Source organism: Homo sapiens, chromosome 7, assembly GCF_000001405.40.
Source record: "Homo sapiens chromosome 7, GRCh38.p14 Primary Assembly".
Lineage (NCBI taxonomy): Eukaryota > Metazoa > Chordata > Mammalia > Primates > Hominidae > Homo > Homo sapiens.
The window spans coordinates 139,684,440-139,708,893 of record NC_000007.14 but is presented as its reverse complement, the minus strand read 5'-3'; the positions used below and the strand labels follow the sequence as shown (position 1 = coordinate 139,708,893).

General features: G+C 47.0%; 1 protein-coding gene across 13 annotated transcripts in view, besides 1 other annotated feature; it reads left to right on the top strand.

Annotated features, from left to right (window-relative positions):
• HIPK2 (homeodomain interacting protein kinase 2) overlaps positions 1-24,454 on the top strand; it is a 216,429-nt gene that overhangs the window by 69,105 nt on the left and 122,870 nt on the right. The gene's annotated exons all lie outside the window — the stretch shown is intronic.
• Positions 15,560-16,061: an enhancer, noted in NCBI's record as "NANOG hESC enhancer chr7:139377579-139378080 (GRCh37/hg19 assembly coordinates)". NCBI's record gives its function as "activates a minimal SCP1, AML or CMV promoter by ChIP-STARR-seq in naive H9 embryonic stem cells {active_cell/tissue: H9 hESC(naive)}" and the evidence as "EXISTENCE:reporter gene assay evidence [ECO:0000049][PMID:30033119]".

The following is a 24,454-nucleotide window of genomic DNA, read 5'->3' as shown; positions in this document are numbered from 1 at the left end:
TCAGGCGACACAGTTTAAGCCCATGTGTGACATGCAGGCACAGGTGTGCTTATGAGAACCATGGTGACCAAGAAGCTGACACTCAGCCCTCCATACAGAGCTACTGATAATGCACACACGCCCACCATGTGGTGAAAGACACAAGGCACACGCAGCAAGCATGCTTGGACATGCAAGGGCACACGCACACACTTAAAGACATGAAAATACCCCAGTGTCCCCAGAGACAGAGGGCCCAGGTGCAGACGCAGTGTTCACGCCCTGGAAACTTGGCCCAGTTTTCTGCCTTGCCACAGAGCTGCCAAATACATGTCTCTAACCTGAGAACAGTAGGGCCAGAACTACTCTTGGGCTCAAGGTAGAGACCAGTCATTTTCCAAGTGGGATCTAAGGACCCTCCTGCCCCATCATCACCCAGGGTACTTGCCGAAACAAACCTAATGAGCAGGCCCTCTGGGGGTGGGGGGCCAGGTGACATGCATTTGGACAAGCTCTGCAGCTAATTCTTAAAAACACACACACAGTTTATTGAGGTATGATTTACTTACAGAAAGCTGTACATACTTAATATCCATGACTTGATGGGTTCGGGGCTGAGTATATACCCATGAAACCACCACAGCCTATGCCATAGGCATATCCATCACCTCCGAAAGTTTCCTCCTGCCCTCTTTATTTATTTTATTATTATCCTTTGAGAATTGTTGCTTAGATGGCATGGGCTCCAGAGTGTCAGCCCACCAGGGTGTAGTGTAGACCCTGTGGAGGTGAGAGGGTGCGGCCGGCATGACAGCCTGGCATTGAGCTGTCCGTCTGTCTCCCAAGTGGTTGAGAGCCCTTCTGCAGGGCCCGTTTGTCAGATTCCTTGTGGTCAGACCCTTTATGCCCCAGGGGTGGCAACAGAAGAGATCCAGAATAATTGGGGGGTACCATAGGAGGGGTCATGTGGGTTGGTGAACTGGCAAGCAGTGGGTGGTTAGGAGGGGAACGCCTGGACTGGGTGGGAATAGAAAGGTGAACAGCAGAGGAGACATGAACGTGCCTTCCTTCCTGCATGACTTACGATGGATAGCGCACTCACTGCCAAGGAGCTGCTGAACTCTCCCTGTAGCCACAGCTGGGTTTGGAGCTGTAACTCTCATGTATGCATCCAACAGGTAATTTTTTGAATTCCGAAGATGTGCCATACACTGTGTTGTGCTGAGGTTTCAGGACGTGAGTAGGAGTGCCCTCGGCTCTGCAGTATCTGTCCCCAGTCTGCGATGGAAGAGGCTGTCCCCGAGTAGACAGCCAGCCCCCACTGTCCTGGCCCACCCTGGTCTCCCAGCTTGAACATCTCTCATTAAACTGAAAAGGCAGAGTTTGTCACCTTGAATCATTTTGCCAGTTCCCCTGGCTTTTAGGGCCACTAGCATGTTCTGAGTCCTCGATGCCGCCCTGTGAGAGCAGGTCGCTGCGTCGCAGCAGTGCAGACAGGGCCACCCTTCTCTCGCTCACCAATCTCCCCTGCGGGGTCTTACGGAGGGTGATTGAAGCCAGCAAACCCACGGCCAGTGCCGGATGGAGCCTCAGGGCTTTGCGGGTATTGGGCTTGTGGCCCTTGTTCCGGGACAGATTGAGATGGTGCTGTTACAGAAGCAACTGTCTCGAATTTCCCCAAGAGCAAGGGCTTGGGTGCAGATCGCCTGTTTAGGAGATGATCACAGGCCTAAGGGAATCGGGAGAGTGATGCTGAGAGGAGTAAGCCCCATGATTCTGGGCTGCTGTACACTCAGGGCTCCGTCCCACCTCTGAGGAGCCTGCCCGAGGCCTCCAGGAGTGTGCCTGGGAAGGGCCAAAGGCGGGGCTCTGGTCGCAGGGGTTGAGGGCTCCCCAGGGTGTTAACTCCCCTGTGGCTTTGCTTGGGCAGAGCTTGTGCCAGGACTGAGTGGGCTTGAGCAGGGTCAGAGGTGGCTCTGAAGCAGAAAAGCAAAGCGATGCAAGGTGCACCTGACTGAGGCCACAGTGTGGCCGAATCAGAGAAAGTGTGACCCACAGTGTGCTGGGACGTCACTCTTTGTCCTTCCCACCAATCACATGTGTGGCATTTGTAAATGGAAAGAGAATAAAAGGAAAATGCCTTTATAGACAAATCTGAGAATGCAAGCTAAGAATTCACAGTTGAGCTCTAAACGTTTGCGAGGAGTTGGGGATCTCTACCTCCCGTGTGAGCAGGCGGGAGCCAGGCTGGGCTCTGAGATAGAATTCCAGAGCAGGGGAGGGGCTGAAAGCTGAAATACAAGCTCCAGAAACAGTAGAAGCAGGTTGAGCTCAGTTACTCTGTCCCATGTTTTCTCCCTTAATGCTTATTAAATGTTGCAGACACCATTTCCTAAGGCTCATCAGTGGAATGAGTGAATGACCGAATGCCTGCATGCATTAATGAATGATATGAGCGGCATCCCATGCCTTGTAGCTCAGCTCATCTCGTCACCCACCGGAAACCCTCGCATGCCCAGTTTCTTGTCATCTTTCATGCAGGAACTTTCACTGCTGCCTAAGTCCTGGGCCACAGCATCTAGCATCTCTGAACCCTGAATCACAGGGGCCGCCCGCTTCCGCCTCTTGGGGAACGTACACATCTCACCAAAAACACTTATTCCCATCTCGTCTTTCCACCTGTGTGAAGTTTATATTTAAGGCCTGCAGACAGCTGATTCAGCTTCGAACAGATCAGTTCCCTGAAATCAGCCAACATCTGTCTTGTCCCATTATACCTTCGCAGAAAATGAGAAGCGACTTCCCCAGCATAAAGAAGGGGCCAAATGCAGCAAGACCTGGCTGAGTCACCTTGAGGATAGAAAGACAGCATCATCCCCGGGGCCTCGTAACCTCCAACCTGCTTTTCTGTTTTTGAGGCTCTGTGGACATGCTGCTCACGTTCCTTGTAACTTTGTCTTCGTACGTAAGAGCTGCATGAACAAAGCCTTCCTGGAGAGAGTAAGGCCAATCGTCAGCTGCTCAACCCGTGCCTGGCACATAGTGAGCACTCAGGAAATGTTAGCTGCTCTTTTTTTTTTTTTTTTTTACTAATCTTTTCATCCTTGTTATTATTTGTATTATCATTACTATCATCTGGCAGACAGAGCTGGATTTGAATTCCAGATCTGCTACTTTACAGCTGTGTGACTCCAGGCAGGTTCCCAAACCTTTCTGAGGCTTATTGTTCTTTTTTCTTAAAAGAGAAAACTTCCTCACACCTGTAATCCCAGCACTTTGGGAGGCCGAGGCGGGCGGATCACGAGGTCAGGAGATCCAGACCATCCTGGCTAACATGGTGAAACACCGTCTCTACTAAAAATACCAAAAAATCAGCTGGGCGTGTTGGTGGGTGCCTGTAGTCCCAGCTACTCAGGAGGCTGAGGCAGGAGAATGGCATGAACCCAGGAGGCGGAGCTTGCAGTGAGCCGAGATTGCGCCACTGCACTCCAGCCTGGGCGACATAGCGAGACTCCGTCTCAAAAAAAAAAAAGGGGGAAACTACTAGCAGTTGGTAGTAGTTTTCCCTTTTAAGAGAAGATGAGGTTGGTAGGGACTGAATGAGATAGCCGCATGCGTGTAACTCGCCCTCTGCCATGCCTGGCACACAGCAGCTCTGTCACGAATAAGCACCATGCTTTCCCCAGCCTCCCCACCCAGATCCATGCTTCTGTGACAGCATGCATTTTCCTTGGCCTGGTGTCATCATTCATGATTTGTAAGCTGGGCATCCCCAGTATTCCCAATCATTTCTTTTTCATCTTACAGGCGCCTGGAGGCCCAGCATCGTATATCAGACTCACTAGGTCCCAAAGGAACAAGGGCCTGGATGTTGGGAGTGTGGTTAGTTGGTTTCCTCTGGCACCAGGAAGGGACAGGGCCCAGCATTTGGGGAGAGAGGAGACACCTCTTCCTGAGTCCAGAGGGAGGAGGACAGATCTTGGTTGCTTGGGGAGGAAGGTGGGGGTATACTTCCTGACTTGAGAGCTGCACCTCCAGGCTGCTGCTTCTGGCCCAGGAGCAACGCTAGAGTCCTGTAGTCCGACGGTGGAGTGCAGGGGCCTCCGAGGAGAGTGGTGGGACGGGGCGCTGGAGGCCTTGGGGGTTAAACTGCCTTTGACACCTGCTGGTACCTCCTGCAGCCACGTGTATCACCACTGACATCACTAGGGTCAAAAAGCCAAGGCTGGAGTGATGCCAAAGAGCCTGTTTAAGACTCCCCTGAAGACAGAGCACGTCTGTGTGTATGGGGTGTGTGTTGGGTGTGTTTATGTATGGTAGGCATGTGTATGGTTTGTATGTGTTCACATGGGGTATGTATATGTTGCTGTGTGTATGGGGTGTGGGGGTGTGTTGGGGTGTGTGTGTGTGTTGGGTGTAGTGTGGGCACATGTAGCATGTGTTGGGTGTGTGTGTGGTATGTGTTGGGGGTGTGTATGTTGGGTATAGTGTGGGTGTGGAGGGGGTGCATGTGTTGGGTGTGGTGTGTGTGGTGTGTTGGGTGTGTATGTTGGGTATAGTGTGTGTGGTGGGGTATGTATGTTGGGTATAGTGTGGGTGTGGAGGGGGTGTATGTGTTGGGTGTGGTGTGTGTTGGGTGTGTATGTTGGGTATAGTGTGGGTGTGGAGGGGTGCATGTGTTGGGTGTAGTGTGTGTTGGGTGTGGTGTGTGTGTTGGGTGTGTATGTTGGATATAGTGTGGGTGTGGAGGGGGTGTATGTGTTGGGTATGGTGTGTGTGTGTGGTGTGTGTGTGGTGTGTGTTGGGTGTGTATGTTGGGTATAGCGGGTGTGGAGGGGGTGCATGTGTTGGGTGTGTGTGTGTTGGGTGTGTATGTTGGATATAGTGTGGGTGTGGAGGGGGTATATGTTGGGTGTGGTGTGTGTTGGGTGTGGTTGTGTGTGTGGTGTGTGTTGGGGGTGTGTATGTTGGATATAGTGTGGGTGTGGAGGGGTTGTATGTGTTGGGTGTAGTATGTGTTGCGTGTGTGTGTGTGTGGTGGTGTTGGGTGTGTAGGTTGGGTATAGTGTGGGTGTGGGGGAGGTGTATGTGTTGGGTGTAGTGTGTGGGGTGTGGGGTGTGTGTGTGGTGTGTGTTGGGTGTAGTGTGTGGGTGTGTGTGTGTGTGGTGTGTGTCGGGTGTGTATGTTGGATATAGTGTGGGTGTGGAGGGGTGTATGTGTTGGGTGTGGTATGTGTTGGTTACATGTGCTGCTGTGTGTGTATCCAGTGGCAGCAGGTAGACTGGTGCATGGTGTTCTCTGTATTTAGAGCTCCTTCCTCGTCCTAATTCTCATGACTGGGGAAGTGTCATCCCCAGTCACAGCCTTATATATGTGGACGTTTGCCATAAAATTTATTTGGCCAGAACATGAGGGACAAACTGTTGGTGCCACTTCTTTGTCATCCTCTGACCTCCATGAAGGATTTCTCGTCCTCCTCTTTTTGTAAATTAGAACTTACATTGGCAAATAAAATGCACTAAGTACGAACCCCCAGAATATAAATAGATCTGGCACCAAGAGAGCCAGATGATGTCCGCACTTGTGAAAGTCAAACATTCACCCTGAGCAGCAGCGGGAGGTTTTAGGATGATGTGGCTGTTCTGTATTCTCAGTGTGGTGGTGGTCACACAAATCTATACATGGGCTAAAATTCATAGAACTTTCCGTTTTTAAAATATTTTCAAAATGATTTTAAATCTATTTACCCCTAATGACCTCTAGGGAAATTGTTGATAATATTAAACCCATAAGCCGTACCATGCCTAATTTTTCTTCCTGTTTTTGTTTTGTTGTGCTGTGTTTGGGTAAAAAAGATATGTTTGTTCATCCTGTCACAGGATGGCCAGGAGGGTAACCAGTCATTTCTGGAAACGGCCGGACAGGGGAACCTACGAAAACAACTCTGGGGCGTAAACAGCTGCTGATGGAGGAAGCATTGATAGCATGCAGTTTCTTTAGTTTATGTGCTGTTTTGTGTATGTGGCTCATCAACTTGTCCTCCAAAAGTTAAGGACTGACCACTAGAAACAGAGAAGTGACAAACTATTATGGCTGAAATAGCAGGACTTTGCAAGTCCAGAGAGAAGATGAAGGCTGAGTGGGGTTGTTGATCCAGCCTCCGTGTGCCCAGGGGTCCTCTGTGTGCCCAGGAGTCCTCCCCTTGCTTCTGACATGATTATTTACGCCCATGGCCTGCATGCCCATGCATGAGACATCATGGTTTTCCCTGTAATCGTTATCTCAAAACCAGCTTTCCCCTGTGGCAACCCTCCCTCCTGAGGGCATTTTCAAGCTTACTACAGAGAAGCAGCTGGCTTTGCAGGAAAGGTCTCCCCCCAGCCCCCAGGGAGAGAACTTCCTTTGTCCTGGATGTAATGGGGTACGTATCCTCATTCTAAGTGCTGGGCCTCGGCGAGGGTCCCTGTGCCTGGAGTGGTCCCAGCAGCTCGACCCGGGATATGCACCCCCGTGACTGGGCTGTGGCCCAAGGCCACATGCTGGGCTCAGAGCCAGGATGCTTCCCTGTCTCCACAGGGGCATTTGCTTATTTTTTTGGAGGAAATAAGAGGGTCGACAGCCTGTAAATGTCCTTCCACAGTGTCCTCTGCAGCTCAGAGCAGCCAGTGTAAGATGTGGGTTTTCAGGGCCACTCCTGGCAGCAAGAGGCCCCAATATTTGCAGAACTGAGCTTACGATCAGGCTGCCCAGCCTCTCCCGCCGCTGTCTCGTGCCCCGGCCTGCGCTGCTGGAGTCTGGAGCAGCACTGGGAGGGACTGCCCTTCCTTGCTCTCAAAAGACACCTCCTAAAGCGTGTTCTTCTTTCTCTGCTCCTCGTGTGCTCCCTGCTTGGCTCCCACGTCCAGATCCCTAACCTGGGATTAGAAGCTCTGGGATTCGAAGTCCTACTGGGTAGCCCCAGCCTGCCCCTCTGCCACTCTCTCCCGATGTGGCCTCTGCAGCAGCCTGACCTGCTCACCGTCCGTTCCAGTCTGCACGGTGCCTTTGGCATAAGGTGCCTTCCCTGCCTTCCCCCGCCTCCAGGCCTCCAAACCCAGTTCTGCCCCATTCCCCTTGTGAAACTCAAGTGCTACCTTTGCCATAACCAAAAGAGATTTATCCCTCCTCTAAATAATTTGCGTTTAGTATAATCCATCTTCTTATTCATTTATCCATTTGATCCCCAAAGAAATGATATATTTCTTAGGCCCTGGGTCTGGCTCTTAAACCCGGGGAGAGAACCAAGGCTGATTGTATCCACTGGTTGTACGGTGAACACGAATGGCCTGCCACCCTTGGCTTAGACTAGGGTAATGAGACAGAGAGACGTAGGTCTCAGCGTCCCGCCAGCTATGTGAGTTGGGCTAAGTCTCACCACCTCTCCGACATGACTTTGCCACAGCTCACTGGATGAGAGCCGACGTTCTAGGTGAGGGCTTTGGGAACAGGAAAGGTCTTGGTAAGTTTTAAGCCTCATGTCTAGCCTCACAGCCTCTTCACGTCCTGCAGTTAGCCGAGACTATAAATACATTACTATTTCTCACCGTGGCCTCTCTGTCCCTGGCTTTTCCCTGTTCTTCTCCTCCCGCTATCTGTTTGTGTTTCTAAGGTTCTCAGACTAATCCAGGTGGACACGTTGGAAGTAGATAGGGAATCTCCAGACACCACCCGACTTAGACACTGGGCACAAAGAGGAGAAATTCCAGCCTCTGGAGTGATGCCGGTTCACTGCTTTACCTTCCTCCATCGGGGCTGCCCTTGCAAGAAACGCATTCACGTGGCTCCCCACAGGACGCCATGCAGGTCCCAGTTAGTTTGGTGCTGGCGCTGACAGAAACAGAAAGATTGAAGATAGATTTTCTCTGAGAAATGTGCTATTTTTAAATTTTTCCGAACTGTTTCTCTTTCTATTGCATGTCAAGGTTTGTATAGAAAGGTCTGTCTTTTCTTTCTTCTCAGTGCTTGGCTTCGTAAAGTTTATTCTGCAAGTGATTTTGAATACCTACTATGTGCATGGCTCTGCAGAAGGAGGAGGCCGCTCTGGGTTTGAGGAATGTGCTGGGGCTTCTTTGGAGAGAGACCATCTCTTCTGGGCACACCCCGTTTGAGTGAGAGCATAGGAACAGGAAGGCCTCAGAAAAATGAGCCGCAGTGCTGCCTGCGAGACTCAGTCCCACATGGACCAAGAGGGGAATTCTGCTGAGAAAGCCTCACGAGAGAAATGAACTGAGGAGAGGAAATATCATTTATAGATTGACCAGAGTGGGAGGGTTAACTGTAAACGTGCAGATTTCAGAAAATACAGCGTGGATGTACACAAAGGAAATACCCATTTAAGAAGTTGGGTGCATGGCTCTCTATTTGAACTAAACATAAGAGTTTGTATTGAAGCAGGTCGTTGCTGATGATGGTGACTCACGTTTTCTGAGTATTTGCAGGAAAGGGCTTTTTGTGACCGTCATCATAGCTCTGAGGTAGCTCTTGCAGCCTTATTGTCCCCATCACGTAGGGCACTGTGTGGTCAGTGCGTGGCCTCAGGTCACCCACATGTTGGTGACCACTACAACGGTACAGCCTCTGTGTCCCACTCTGTCCAGATGATTCCTTGCAGAAAGCAGGCGTGTTGAGGGTCCCCAGGCTGTGGTGTGCACAGCAGGAAACCCCCAGCTCCTCTAGAAAGGCCTGGCCTCAGGCACCCTTGAAAACACGTCTGATTTCAGCAGTCTCACGTCAGCCCTCCCCTCCCCCCACCTCGCACAGGCAAGTGTCCTGCCCTCTAGAGAGCGCCACTGAGGATTTGTTTTCCTGTCCCATTGGGAACCTCATGCTTGGTTAGCACAGACGTCGTATATCTGCATCACTGCTCCATTCTGTCCGAGGCAATGATGATGCTGACACCACTGCACAGAGCAGCACTGCCCCTGCTCCAGAATTAATGATTCAGTGCCCCAGACAAAGGTGGCATAGTGTGCAGCCACAGGAAGCATGCATGTTTTCCAGGGTGTGCCTCCCGGGAGGGCACATCTGTGCATTCACTCCGCACACCCCTGGCGTGCGCAGATTGTGACCCAGTGCTGTGAGGGATTCAGACCTGGGGCAGCCTGGAATTGACCCTGAGAATGTCAATGGGAGGGATGCAGGTGACAGCCATGCCAGCTGGACAGCAGTCATCTCCTAAGATCACCAAAGGTGAAGGGTGAGGGGTTCTGCCATGGGAAAGGCCACCTTGTGCCTGGTGCAGAGGGACCTATGCCAGCTCCACCCTCCCCAGCTGCAGGCCCAGCCTTGCCTCCTGATAGCAGGGTGTACCTGAGGGGCTTACACTCTCCTGCTCCTTAGTGAGACTTCTCCTGGACAAAACGTAACTTCTTGCTGGGTTGGAGGCTGTGGATGGCAGGTACATGTGGCCTAAGCATGGTCCTCTTCCCCAGGTGATAAAGAGGAGGCGGGGAGGGAGCCTATACATATTCACATTATCCTCCTTTCCATCTAGCAAGCGAGACTCACCACACTTAAATACTTTCCATTTCGCCTGCACAGCGTGAGGATTGCTGAGTTTGTTTTGCCATAGAAATTGAATGTTTCTAATGAAACATGACAACATCGCCTTTCCTAGCAAGTAGGAAGGGAGATCTTTTTCAGGAGATGTACTCCCTGCGGCCCTGGGGAAATGAGATACTGCCCCAGGCTGGTGGGAGAGATGGCGGGTGCCACTCTCCAGTATCTCTGTCTCACGGTTCTTGCTGCCCAAGCTACTGTGCGTCGGCAGCCGGCTGGGCCGCCCTCAGTCAAGCAGGTTGTTCGGATCGTGGCAGCTGTGGTGCTGTGTGCTCTGCGTGGGTCGTCGTTTTTATTATTTATTATACCCGTCCTTCAAGGTCCTACTCAGGTTTCATTTCTCTATTCATCTTTCTTTGGGCACTCTGCTCTTCTCTGCTGTAACTTCTTGCTGCATGTAAAATCTGTGGTATAATATATGCCTCCTTGCATTTGATGGAACTTTTGAGGTTTGGAACTTTTGTTCTATAGCTGTGTCCTGGGTGTTAGTCCTGGTCAAGGAGCTAGACTGGAACCTTTCTGGGTGTCTGTGCTGGTGATTAACATATTCCCTGTACTTGATGGTGGCGGGGTGGGTGGTAAGGATTAGAGATTTCACAGGGCCTGTTGAAGGAAAGCTGTTATATAAATCGCCCAATCCTTTCATGAGCTACAAAGGTCAGTGTTAATGAAAATCATTTCAGGATTTTTGTTTCATAAATTATGTTTAAAATAACTTTTTCAGGAACGCTCTTACATCGCTGGTACGAATGTAAAATGGCACAGCCACTGTAGAAAACAGTTTGGCAGTTCGTCAAAAACGTAAGCATAGAATTGCCATATGATTGCTGCAATTCCATTCCTAGGTATACACCCAAAAGAAGTGCAAACAAGGACTCGAACAAATACTTGTACATGCATGTTCATAGCAACACTGTTTACAACAGCCAAATGGTGGAAGCAGCCCAAATGTCCATCAGTGGATGAACGTATATGCAAATGGTGGTATAGACATACAATGGAATATTATTTCGCCACGAAAAGGAAAAATGTACTGATAAATGCTACAACATGAACATACACCCAAAACATCATGCTAAGTGAAAGAAGGCATACACGTATCGTATGATACTCTTTATATGAAATACCCAGCATAGAAAAATCCATTAAGATGGCTAGGTGCAGTAGCTCATGCCTGTAACTCCAGCGCTTTGGGAGGCCAAGATGGACAGATCACTTGAGGCCAGGAGTTCAAGACCAGCCTGGCCAACATAACGAAACCTTGTCTCTACTTAAAAATACAAAAAACTAGCCAGGCGTGGTGGCGTGCACCTGTAATCCTCAGGAGGCTGAGGCATGAGAATCACTTGAGCCTAGGAGGCGGAGGCTGCAGTGAGCCAAGATCGTGCCAATGCACTCCAGTCTGGGCGACAGAGCGAGACTCCGTCTCAAAAAAAAAAAAAAAAAAAAAAAATTCCATTAAGACAGAATGCATATTGGTGGCTGGGAGGAGGGGATAATAGGATAAATTCTTAATAGATAAGGGATTTTACTTCCAAATGATGAAAATATTTTGGAACTAGATAGACGTGATGGTTTGTACAACGTTATGAGTGATGAATGTACTAAATGCCACTGAGTTGTTCACTTTAAAAAGACTAATTTTACGCATGTGATTCACCTCAATAAATTATTTTTTAAACAGAAAAGGGAAAAAAATTAATTTTCTGTTTAATTATTTTTTAAACAGAAAAAAAAAAACCTTTAGGCTAAGTAGGAATGGGATGAGATTTTTACCAGGAACTGAGATTCAGGCCCTTTTTGGTTTATTTGTACGTGGGACCTAGCATTGTTAGAGATGCCAGGTAGAATGAGAGTATCTTTGAGAGCTGTGTTTGTGTCGTCGCCATAGGAGCTGATTTTATAAATCCTGACAAAAGCAGATTTGCGAAGATGATTTATACTTTTCCGGCTGTAGGCTGAAACAGTAAGGTAAATATTTTGTTTTCTCCTTCACTCGGAGAGAAAAGGAGCAGCTTTACTGCAGCTCTCTCTGAGGCCCCTGGGCACCTGTGTGTAAGCAGAGCTCGGCGTTGCCCTGATGGAAGTGGTGGTGTTATCTGAAGAACAGGTGTAGTGTGCACAGCGAGGCAGGAGGTAAAGCCAGGCCAGCTGCCTCTGGGTGCTCTCTCTGTCTTACAAGAAGGACTGATCCCTGGCAGGGGGTCGGGGAGGAGGCGAAAGGGGGAGTATTTTGTCTATGATATTTCAATAATTCTAAAGTCTGTGGTATAGTTGGCTTTAGAGATGGTAAGCCTAAATAAAATTCCATTTCTGCAACTGACTACCCTCGTGTGTCCTTGGCAAGTTACTTAACTTTCTGCATCCCGGCTTCCTGACCCCTAAACTGGGGATCATAATGCTGTCTTATAGAAGTTTTAAGGATTAGATGAAATCCACACATGCAGTGCCTGGCCTGTGGGGATGCACAGAAACATTCATCTCTCTGAGGAAGCAATGCTCTGAAACGTGTCACCTCTGAGTGTTGACGCCAGGAAGATGTGAGTGTTCCTTTCAGCCTGTGTGACTCTTCCCCCTTTACTCTTTTCACCCCGCCCCCTTTACTTTTATGTCCATTTCTTTGTGCTGCCATTTAGAGGAAGTGAAAAGTATCTGGGTTTGGTTTTGTTTTATCATCAACTATCTTCCCTAATCAGAAAAGACTGCATTTTTCTTTTTCTACCTTTTTTTTTTTGAGGCAGGGTCTCATTCAGTCACCCTGGCTAAAGTATAGTGGTGCACTCGCAGCTCACTGCAACCTCAAACTCCTGACCTTAAGCCATCCCCCTCCCTCAGCCTCCCCAGTAGCTGGGGCTACAGGTGTGTGTCACTGTGCCTTTCTAGTTTTTAAAATTTTTTGTAGGGATTGGTGGCGGGGGGTCTCACTATGATGCCCAGACTTGTCTCAAACTCCTGGCCTCAAGTGATCCTCCTGTCTCCACCTCCCAAAGCGCTGGGATTATAGATGTGAGCCACCCTGCCCAGCCAAGACTGCTTTTTTTCTCTTCCCATTCCTGGTTTGCCACATGGATAATTATATTTCATTGTCACAGGCCTTTATATAAGAAAGAAATCTGCATCTTACCACTGTGTATTTACGTAGTTGCATCCCCCACCCTACTATCAACAAAATCACTGACCTTCAACAAACATCACGTTATCAATGGCTTTCTGGGTACATTCTCTTTGCCTTGGTTTCCTTCTGTTCATCTGCAGCACACTTTTTCTCCCTCTGGCCAGTTCTCCGAAGTCTTAAACATTGATTAGAATGTCTGTTCTTCCTCAAATCCTGATTTGTTAATACTTTTCTTCCCCCCTTAATTCAGGAAACATTTATTGGACACCTATTAGGAGCAAGACAGTGTGCTATGATGAATCAGAACTAGGCCCTTCCCCCAAGGAGAGTCCAGTGCAGAAAATTAGACAGAAATCACTCTGATCACAGTTAAGCTGTGGGACAGGATTTCACTGAACTGTGGTTTTGTAGCCATTTCATCCCTGAGTCATGCTTCTTCCATAGTTTTCGGTAATTTGTCCAAAACATCTTTGGCAGATTATATTTTGGAACTATTGTAAATCCTCCTTTCCTAAATTTTCATCTTGAGTGTGTGTTCTTTCTACTCTTGGAAGTTTATATGGGTTTTAATGAACTGTTTGTCCTGTAAACCATTCTGTAGAGCAGTTCTGATTTGTTCTGATTCTTTGCTTTCCCCTGGCCTCTTGAATAACTTTTTAATGTCCTCAAGCTTAAATATATCTACTTCTATTCTCAAGTACAGAGGTTTCCTTCCCATGTAGCATTGATGTCAGGCAATCAGGTTGGCGTTCTCAGCCCCATTTCCCATTTCATGGTGGCCCCAAGAGATGGAGTGGCGAGCCCCCAAGGCTGTCTAACTAGCGGGTGGTGAAAGGCAGCCCCGGGCCACACAGTAGTCGTGCAGTTCCGGTGAGGCCTAACCCTCCGTTCTGAGCCACCCACTGTGATGGTCACTTTGATGACGAGGACCACGGCTCCCTGGGAATCGGCCCGCAAGCAGCCTGCTCCTCTAATGATGGAACACTTATGGCTGCTGGCAGTGGGAGACAGTATGAATATTAATAAACTATATTTCACTTTTATTACTTTTTCATGGAGATGGTGTTTGTGAGTGAAGTCCGTGCACTGAGCTACAGACAGGCGTTTTGTTTTCTTGACAAAATGGCGAACCTCGCAGCCAGAGGCAAGAGCACGTTTAGGAGCAGCTAGCTAGGAAAAATGCCAGTAAACATTAGCAGGCCATATAATAGGGGGCGAGCCTGTGGATTTCTGTGTTTTAACAGTTTTCTGAGGCAGATAAATATCACAGGTTCAGCAGTTTTGCAGGATATTCCTTGTTTGACTGTTCCTTTTCTGTTGTAATGTCTGCATGCAACTGTTAGGCCATTGCCTTGCCCCATAAATGGTTGCCAGTCACCTGTCCTGGGGTTAACAGGCAGAGCCTTGTCCTCCTGCCCATTCACTCTGCACCTTCCAGCCCTCATCCTCCACCTTCTCTGTTCAACTGACATCTTTCCACTAAACCAAAGCAGACACTACCTCCCCCATTTATCATAGCTGAGTGCCCCATCTCTGTTTTTATGTGACCATGGACCATGCGCACAGGAATGATCAGGCCACCAGGGAATGGTGGGCTTGTCTCAATCAGTGAACCTTGGCAGGTGGCGAGAACGCTTTGAGACCCAGGCAGACCACAACAGACTCCCCACGTGGTTCCAGAGACCAGAGGTGGATCTGGGCTGGGGCAGGAATGACCCCTCAGCATGACAGTGCCCCGTGCCTTTGGTCCTGCCTTGGGAGGAGACACCTGTCGGAGCTCTGAGCCGTGTGTTGCTGGGATACGTCATGATCATCGATCTGAGGTATCTTTGTGTTGGTAATGGGTATCTATCACTGGGCTAGGTGACAGAACCTTGCTCTGTTGATACATATCTGGTGTCTTGTGGAGCGTGTAAGGACACACGTGTCTCTGGCAGAGTGGAGCATGGCAGACTGTGAGAGTTACAGGAGGATGGATTAAAGTTCATCCGTTTATTTCATGAGTCAGAAAGAGCAGATGAATTTTTGCTAATTCGAAGTGCATCTATTACAGCCAGGTCAAAAGAGAAATCTGAGAAACCTTCTGTACTGAGTAATGCAGACCCTTCAGACTTAACCTTTCTTGATGATTTATTGAATAGGAAAAAAAGTATATTTCTGCTTTTGCAGTTCCAAGTTTCTTCTCGGTTTAGAATCAGTCACTTCAAGGAAAGACTGCACTCTTTATGCATGTGGAAGTGGCTTGTTTTTAGAGTTGGATTATCACTCCTTTCATGTGTTCAGTTTGCAGCAAGCATTTATTGAGTGCCTGCTGCCTGCGGGATACTGCATTTTAGTATCTGATAAGTGCACATGTTTTTAGAAATGTTTACCTGAGTCACACATTATTGGAGAATAAAGATATCATGTGTGTATACATTTCCCAAGTGACTAAAACTTACCCATTTCAACACCATACTTAAAATGTTTTTTTTTTTTTTCTGGACAAAAATTTAACAGGAAGACATCATAGCATCCCATACCTTCTGATATAGAGTAGAGGACGAAGGGGAATGAATGGCACTGGCATTTTAATAAGCATCTGCTAAAGGCCAGAGGCCTACATTTAATCTTTGGGACAACTCCCCATTTAGTGGATGAGAAAATTGAGTCTGAGGAAACCAACTGCCAAGTGGCACAAGGCTAGAAGTAGTGCTGCTGGGATTTGAACCAGGTGTGTCTGACCCCCAGACACACGTTTCTTCTACCAAGTGCTGCTCTCTCTCCAACTGAACCCCTTCCTAATCCCTCAGGGTTATTATAAATGTGATGAAATGTGTTCAAACACAGACATGCACTTAGGTGCTCTACTTAGAGTTTAATTCTCTTTGCTCCAGTTAAAAGGCTCCTTGTATCTGTGTTCATTGAGTTAAAATTCTAACTCTAGCTGCCATTTATTAAGTGCCTGTTATATGCAAGGAATTTTACATGCATTTTCTCTGTTCTTCACAAGGCATTTTTTCCATTCTGTAGATGAGGAAACAAGCTCAAGGAGGTTAAGTAACTTGCCCCAAATCCTATAATCACTAAGTGATAGAGCCTTTGGAGTCTTTCTGCCTCCAAAAGCTTTGCATCTTCTCACAGTGGTTGGTCTCTGTTCCTCTTGGGGTTAGGAACTGTTGTCATTATGCCAGCCCCTTCCTGCAGTGGCTCTCTCCTGTTCTAATGTCGTGTTCCCATCTCTTCATGACAGCAGAATCAAGTCACCAAACCTGTTGGAGGTAATGGAAAAAATATTGGCATAGGAACCAAACGACCTGGCTTCTAGCCCCAAGCTGGGCATGTGGCCTTAAGCAAGCCCTTGGCTCCTGAAATTTAGAGCCGTACTTCTTCCCTGCCTAGGATGGGCATTTATCACGAATGTGTGAGAATCTGCATATGCTCCACCCACATAATGGGTACTGACGAAATTATGTTTGGGACGTAAGCACATAACTGTTTTTTTTTCTGATGCATATAGATGCTATTGTGATTAATAAATTGGAAAATGTGACTTGCCTACTGTGACTTTTTGGTATTTTGTATTTTCTCAATTGGGAGATAGTAACAATGCAATTACTATCATGTGGGATCTAACCATTCCCCCACCCCAAATTCTACAGATGACAATAGAAACCTACTTCATGTCAGGGAGCCACGGTCACCCCTCTCTGTACACAGGAAAAGAACCTGTCCTGCTCCCTTAGTAGGATTGCTGTGAAAGTCTAGGATGTGGGAACATAGTGCAGGGTATACAGAGCTAGCTCTATACCTTTGACCTTGGCATTAAGCAGGCTCTCGGGGAGGGCCTGACACCCTCTCTGTAGCCAGTGTGCATGAGCTTAATGCACAGATTTTACATCTATTTTTGGTGCTCAAAGGCCTTTTTGAGTTCACTTCCAGGTTCTGGGTTATGTTCTAGGTAGTTGTTGGTGCCAAATGAAAATGAGCTTCAAATGTTATTAAATGTATGTATTTCTTTAAAAAAGAAAATACTGTTTCAGATACTTCAGAATTAGAAACTGCACCAGGTTGGTCATTTCTTTGAGCACTGGCCTATTTAAAATTTTTAGAAAACCAAAAAGCTGTCCATCTACTGTCTACTGATATGCCTGTAATGTTATATCAAAAACCTGTTACCTTAAGTTTTATTTTTTAATATATGAATGCGTAGAAATCATCTTTTTATAAATATCCTGGTTTTGGTGGATTTAATACCTTCCCTGAAAGGAGAAATAAGTATACCACGTATATTTCTATTCCCCAAAAACTCTGGATTTTTTTCATAGGCCACGGTTTTTAATGTATTATTTATTTTTGAGGTATTAATACAATTTTGTACTTGACAGAGCACCATGATGTATACAGTTTCATTTAATCATCAGAGCAGCTCCGTTTCATCCCCACTTGCACAGGTGGAAACTGAGAATCTGCCCTGTCCCTGGACGCAGAGCCAGGAAGGAGTCAAGCCAGCTGGTCCCCAGCCAGCTCTCTCCACACCAGGCTCACCTCCTTATCCCAGCTGGTTTTGCTGCTGTGGGGCAGCTCACTGTGCCAGACTTTTCCCACATGGTTTATGAGGGCTCATGAGGTGAAGGGTCAGGCTTTCATTTTGGTCCAGTGTTTCACATAGAAATTGTGCTCCATGCAGCAGTGCCAGGTCAGAGTGTAAGTGATTCCAAGCCACATATTACTCTTGGGTAGGCAGGGAGCAGGGTTGCAAAAGAGCAAGACTTAATGACATTGGCTATCTGCTATTATTGTCTTATTACATGAAAAGAGGGCCTAAGTTTGTTGTCACTCTCTCCGCAGATATGAACACTGAACTTTCTTAGTCATAATGGGGACGGGCTCGTCAGAGTGCTAAATTACCAGCAACTGCAGTGTTATTTGATGTTCGGTTTTATCAGCAAGGGTGCCAGATGTTTGCACAATCGAAACTATGGAACTATAGAGACATATAAACCAGCTCTGCAGCTAGCCACATATAGAGCCAATACCACACTGTGATAGTAAGGGTAGGGGGGCGTTTTCCTTTTGTCCAAAGAAAAGAGGTTTCCCACAGAATCTCAACACTGTGTCCCTGAAAGTGATCTTGGCAATTATCTAATCTCACCTCCTTCATTACAGATTCCTGTTTTTTATGTCAAATACATTGGAGGCTTAAGGCTCTCGGCCAGATGCTAAAGGTGAGCATTTGCAGGCTTCCCAGGCCGAGATTGTCCAGGATCAAACACCCGGTTCGTAGGATGTCTGAGTCCCTTTAGTGTTGCTATCAAGGAATACCTGAGACTGGGTAATTTATAAAGAAAAGAAGTTTATTTCGCTCATGATTCTGATGTCTGCAAAAGTTCAAGATTGGTCATCTGCATCTGGTAAGGGCCACAGGCTGCCCCCACTCATGGCTGAAGGTGAAGGGGAGCTGGCGTGTGCGGATTACATGGCACTGGAGGAAGCAAGGCGGGGGCAGGGGAGTGCCAGGCTCTTTAAATTTGTATTTATTTTATTTTATTTTTAAAATTTATTTCTATTTTTTGTAGAGACAGTGTCTCACTATGTTGCCCAGGCTGGTCTCGAACTCCTGGGCACAAACGATCCTCCCACCTTGGCCCCCCACCCCAAAGTGCTGGGGCTGGCTCTTTTTTACAACTAGCTCTCGTGGGAACAAATAGAGCAAGAACTCATTTATTACTGCGAGGACAACACTAAGCCGTTCATGAGGGATCTGTCCCCATGACCCAAATACCTCCCATTAGTTCCCACCTCCAACACTGGAGATCACATTTCAACATAAGATTGGAGGGGGACAAACATCAAAACTGTAGCATAGGGAAGCCAGCATCTGTCCACAGCCTGCTGTATGTCCCTACTCTTCTTGGCCCTCTGCCCTCCCCTGACTCTGTGTGCACTGCTCATACCACTAAATAGGGACCGATGCTCTAGCAAATGGCCCTTGTGTTGATGCATTCACCACCCCTTTACACTGACGTAGTTGGGCAAGCAAGTGTTCAGGAATGGGTCTGAGGGCTTTCTGGGTGCAGCTCATTTCCCAAGCGCTTTCCCCTGGCATCCCTTTAAACCTGCTGTGTCAGCTGTCCCTCCCCGCACTCCCCCACCCCCGCCCCCACCGCTTCTCATGGACCTGCATAGATTGGGCCCCACCTTGAGGCTCCCCCAGCCCCCTGTGCACACCGAGGTGCCCGGCACCCTGCGTGAGCTCTCACTGTGGATGGTGAGCAAGGACATCCACCCAGCGTCTTTCCCCCTCACAGGCTGCCTGAGGCCTTTGTCCCTGTCCTGTCAGGGAAGCTCTGCCGCTCTCCTGTTGATTGACTCACCACCTGACTCCTTCCCAGTCCTCTTTTTCTCATTTTGGAGTTAGAAGTCTCCAGACCCCAGTTAGTCCTGGCTCCTCTTCAAGCAAAGCGCAAGCCATAGCTTGGGATTTCTGAGCCACACGATTACATGTAGGGCCAGATATGACCCTTGGACCAATGGGAAGCTGTGTGTGGCAGAGATGGGCAGGTTTGTAATAGGAAAGTTCCAGGCTGGGCTCATCAGGTGAGAAACATTTCTGCACACCTCCCCCATAGCAGACCCAGTATTCTTCACCATCAACAGACATAAGGTAACTGAGACAGGAAGATGTTACCTGTGAGGAACTTGCAATTTAGCTAATACATATAAATGATGTTGTGTGAAAGTAATTCTGGGCTGTTTCACAAGAAATATTTATTTTCATTCCAAATTGGATAGCAAGCCAATTCTTTCTTATAAGACAGCATATAACATACATAACTTCAAAATGACACACTTGGACTGCCTAAATCTTAATCCTGAGAACTTCAAGGTTCCATTTGGTATGTGGGCTTCATTGTGATGATTGAATTAGGCAGCCCTGTTAACGCCAACAAAATATGACCGCTTTTCTCTGATTGCATTTCCTGACTTCTAAGTTTTCCCGATAGCAGTTTTCCCTACCAGCAGTTCATTTCCCCAGCTCTTGGGGAGCACTCTGTGGGGTCCGTGGCTGCATTTACACCCCAGCCAAACGTGGCACTCATCGGGCGTCTCCAGGCTGCACGAAGATTCAACTTTAGCTTTGGCTCTTGGTCCACCACTTGGCAGTTAGGAAAGTTTTCATTTTGAGAGTTTCTCTTCATTTGCCTTGTTAATATTCAGGTTTGACTTGTAGTGGTACCATAAGGTATAAACTCTTAGTAAGACTGGAAATAAAATTGTGGTATTTTACTGTACATAAGCCCCTGAATGTACCCAGAAGTCTTATACAAGTTGTTGGTCACTTTGACTTTTTTTTCATCATGTTCTATACTGGTGGCATTAAATTCACATGCAGGCAGAATCCGTCTTATAATGAACATTAGTATTTTTAAGTTTTGCTGTCTGGATTTTGGTGAGGTGGGAGGTGGGAAGAGGGAAAGTGATTTTACATGGGAACTCATCTCTGGTGTTAAAAATAGTCAATTGAGGCATATGATTGATAACAAATATTATCCTGTGCCACATTATTCAGGGGAGGACTTGATGCTAAGATTGTAGGCTGCAGATGAAAATAAGTAGCCTACCAGCCCTCTTAAACATCTCCCTTTAACTGGGATCATACCCCCAACCATAGCCCTTGGAAGAGAACCGGCAGCAGCCATCAGCTCCTGCCTTTTGGCCCTTGACATTGGCCCAGACTCTAGAGTTGAGGGAGTGAGAAGCCCGTTCTTCCACACCTTCCTGTGTCTTCCAGTCTCTAGCTGTCTTCAACTGCTTCTGATATTCAGAGGTCAAGTTATCATTTACTTGACAATCACTCCCAGTTAGGGGGAGCGGTAAGGAGAGGAGTTTGAAAAGGAAAAAGTGGAAAAGTGGAGGAGACTGCCAGACCAAGAGAATGAGAGGAGGGAGTGCCTCTTGATCTCGATGAATGAGTCATCAGCTCCAGATTCACGTGGTCACGAAAGAGGAGGAGCTCACACAGGCCTGGTCTGGCCAGGCTTCAGAGGGCAAGAAGAGGGATGGGGTGTGTGTGTGCCCAGTGGATTGTCCCTGCAGGCCCAATGGGCTGCGTGTGTGTGTGTGTTGGCCCAGTGGATTGTCCCTGCAGGCCCAATGGGCTGCCTGTGTGAGTTGGGGTGACAAGAATCCATGCTGCTTGAGAACAAGGGTGAGCTTATCCCTGGATGTGCTCAAGCACAGCTTTGCAGATCTTGGCTAAGGAAGATCCTAGAATCTGGTTCTTCCCAAGGATCTTTGCCTTCTCTCTGGGAAATTTCATCTCCTCTCATCTCTGGATCCTTCTCCCAATCACCCATACATCCACCAGCCCCCAAACTGCCCCAGAATATTATTAAGCACAAATCTAAGCTGTTTCAGCCAGAATTGTGTTTAGCCTGGGACAGGAAGAGCTGGTTCCTCTGCCCTGTACTGCCTGAGGTGTGCAAGTTTAGGAATCCAGGAGACTAGTATTTTCTCCCAGGTTCTTGGCATACCAATCCTAGTGAGGGGTGCCTGCTGAGGGACTTTAGACATGGGATAGGATGAGATGGGATGGGATAGACTGAGACAAGAATTGGGGGCAGCTTATCACCCATACCCTGTGTTAAAATTAAAACCAAAATTCTTAAGCAACATTAAATATCCTGTATTTACTATGTTAGTCTGTTTTCTTCACCAATGTATTCTATATCCCAACCACCTAATAATGCCTGGCATATTATAAATACCTCAGAGATATTGCAGGCTTGGTTTCAGACCACCTCAATAAAGTGAATATTGCAATACAGTGAATCACATGCATTATTGTGGTTCTTAGTGCATATAAAAAACTGTAGTGTAGTCTTTGTGTGCAATCATTTGTACTTACCTCATTTGTATGCTATATCATGTCTAAAAAATTGCACATACTTAATTTTAAAATACTAGAGCTAATTTTAAAATGCTAGAGCTAGGCTTGCACCTTTAATCCCAGCTACTTGGGAGGCTGAAGCAGAAGAATTGCTTGTAGTGATGAGTTGAGACCAGTCTGGCCAACATAGCAAGACATCATTTTTAAATAAATAAATGAATGAATGAATGAATAAAATACTTCATTGCTAAAAATGCTAGTGATCTTCTGGGCCTTCAGTGAGTCATAATCTTTTTGCTGGTTGGAGGGTCTTACCTCGATGTCAATCGTTGCTGACTGATCAGGATGGTGGATGCTAAAGGTTGGGGTGGCTGTGGCAATTTTGTCAAAATGACAGCAGTGAAGTTTGCTGCATCACTTGACTCTTCCCTTCACGAAAGAGTTCTCTGTAGCATGTGATGCTGTTTGATAACATTTGAGCCACAGTAGAACTTTCAAATTTGGAGTCAGTCCTTTCAGACCCTGCCACTGCTTTATCAACGAGGCTTATGGAATATTGTATTAGTCTGTTCTCACGCTGCTATGAAGAAATACCCGAGACTGGGTAATTTAAAAAGGAAAGAGGTTTAATTGACTCACAGTTTCACAGGGCTGGGGAGCCCTTAGAAAACTTACAATCATGGCAGAAGGTGAAGCAAACACATCCTTCTTCACATGGCAGCAGCAAGGAGAAGTACAGAGCAAAGTGGGAGGAAAGCCCCTTATAAAACCATCAGATCTCATGAGAACTCACTGTCATGAGAACAGCATGAATGCAACTGCCCCCATGATTCAATTACCTCCCACCAGGTCCCTCTCACAACACTTGGGGATGATGGGAACTACAATTCAAGATGAGATTTGGGTGGGGACACAGCCAAACCATATCAAATATTCTAAATCCTTTGTTATCATTTCAACAATATTCACAGCATCTTCACCAGAAATAGATTCCATCTCAAGAAACTACTTTTTTTGCTCGTTCATAAGAAGCAACTCCTCATCCATTTAAGTTTGATCATGAGAGTGCAGCAATTCAGTCACATCTTCAGCTCCACTTCTCTTTCTGGTTCTCTTCCTATTTCTACCTCATTTACAGTGACTTACACCACTGAAGTCTTGAACCCTTCAAAGTCATCCATGTAGGTTGGAATCAACCTCTTCCAAACTCCTATTAATGTTGACATGTTGACGTCTTTCCATGAATCATGACTGTTCTTAATGGCATTTAGAATGGGGAATGCTTTCCAGAAGACTTTCAATTTACTTTGGCCAGATCCATCAGAGGACTCACTGTCTATGGCAGCTATAGGCTTACAAGATGTGTTTCTTAAATAATAAGACATGAAAGACAAAATTACCCCTTGATCTATGGGCTACAGAATGGATGTTGTGTTAGCAGGCATGAAATCACATTAATCTTGTACATCTCCATCAGAGATCCTGGGTGACTAGGTACATTGTCAATGAGCAGTCATATCTTGAAAGAAATCTTTTTGTTCTGAGAAGTAGGTCTCAACAATGGGCTTAAAATATTCAGTAAACCAGGCTTTAAACAGATGTCCTGTCATCTAGGCTTTGCAGTTCCATTTATAAAGCACAGGCAAAGTAGATTTAGCACAATTCTTAAGGACCTTAGGATTTTCAGAATGGTAAATGAGCACTGGCTTCGACTTAAAGTCACCAGCTGCATCAGCCCTTAACAAGAGAGCAAGCCTGTCCTTTGAATCTTTGAAGCCAGGCATTGACTTCTCCCCTCTAGCTACGAAAGTCCTAGATGGCATCTTCTTCCAATAGACGGCTGTTTCATCTACATTGAAAACCTGTTGGCCGGGTGTGGTGGCTCATACCTGTAATCCCAGCACTTTGGGAAGCTGAGGAAGGAGGATTGCTTGAGCCCAGGAGTTTGAGACCAGCCTGGGCAACATGGCGAAACCTTGTCTGTACAAAAAATTAGCTGGCTGTGGTGTTGCATGCCTGTAATCCCAGCTACTTGAGAGGCTGAGGTGGGAGGATCACCTGAGCCCAGGAGGTTGAGGCTGTTGTGAGCTGAGATCGTGCCACTGCCCTCCAGCCTGAGCGACAGAGTGAGACCCTGTCTCAAACAAAAAAGAAAATCTGTTGTTTCATGTAGCCACCTTCATCAATGATCTTAGCCAGATCTTCTGGATAACTTGCTGCAGCTTCTGTATGGGCACTTGCTGCTTCCCTTTGCATTTTTATGTTATGGAGATGGCTTATTTCCTTAAACCTTATGAACCAACCTCTGATAGCTGCAAACTTTTTTTCTACAATTTCCTCACCTCTCTTAGCTTCCACAGAATTGAAGAGTTAGGGATTTGTTCTGGATTAGGCTTTGGCTGAAGGGAGTGTTGTGGCTGGTTGGATCTTCTATCCAGACCACTAAAAAACCTTCTCCATATCAGCAGTAAGGCCATTTTACTTTCTTATCATTCCTGTGTTCACTGGAGTAGCACTTTTAATTTCTTTCAAGAATGTTTTCTTTGCATTCACAACTTGGCTGTTTGGCACAAGAGACCTAGCATTCAGCCTGTCTCAGCTTTTTTTATGTTATTAAGACAGTCTCTCTCTGTTGTCCAGGCTGGAGTGCATTGGTGCAATCATAGGCTACTGCAACCTCAAACTCCTGGATTCAAGTGATTCTCCTGCATCCAGAGTACCTAGGACTATAGGTACACATCACTATGTCCAGCTAATTTTTTAAAATATTTTGTTTGTAGAGATAGGGTCTCACTGTGTCATCCAGGCTGGTCTCAAACTCCTGGCCTCAAGCAGTCCTCCCGCCTTAGCCTCCCAAAGTGCTGGGATTACAGGCATGAGCCACCACAAC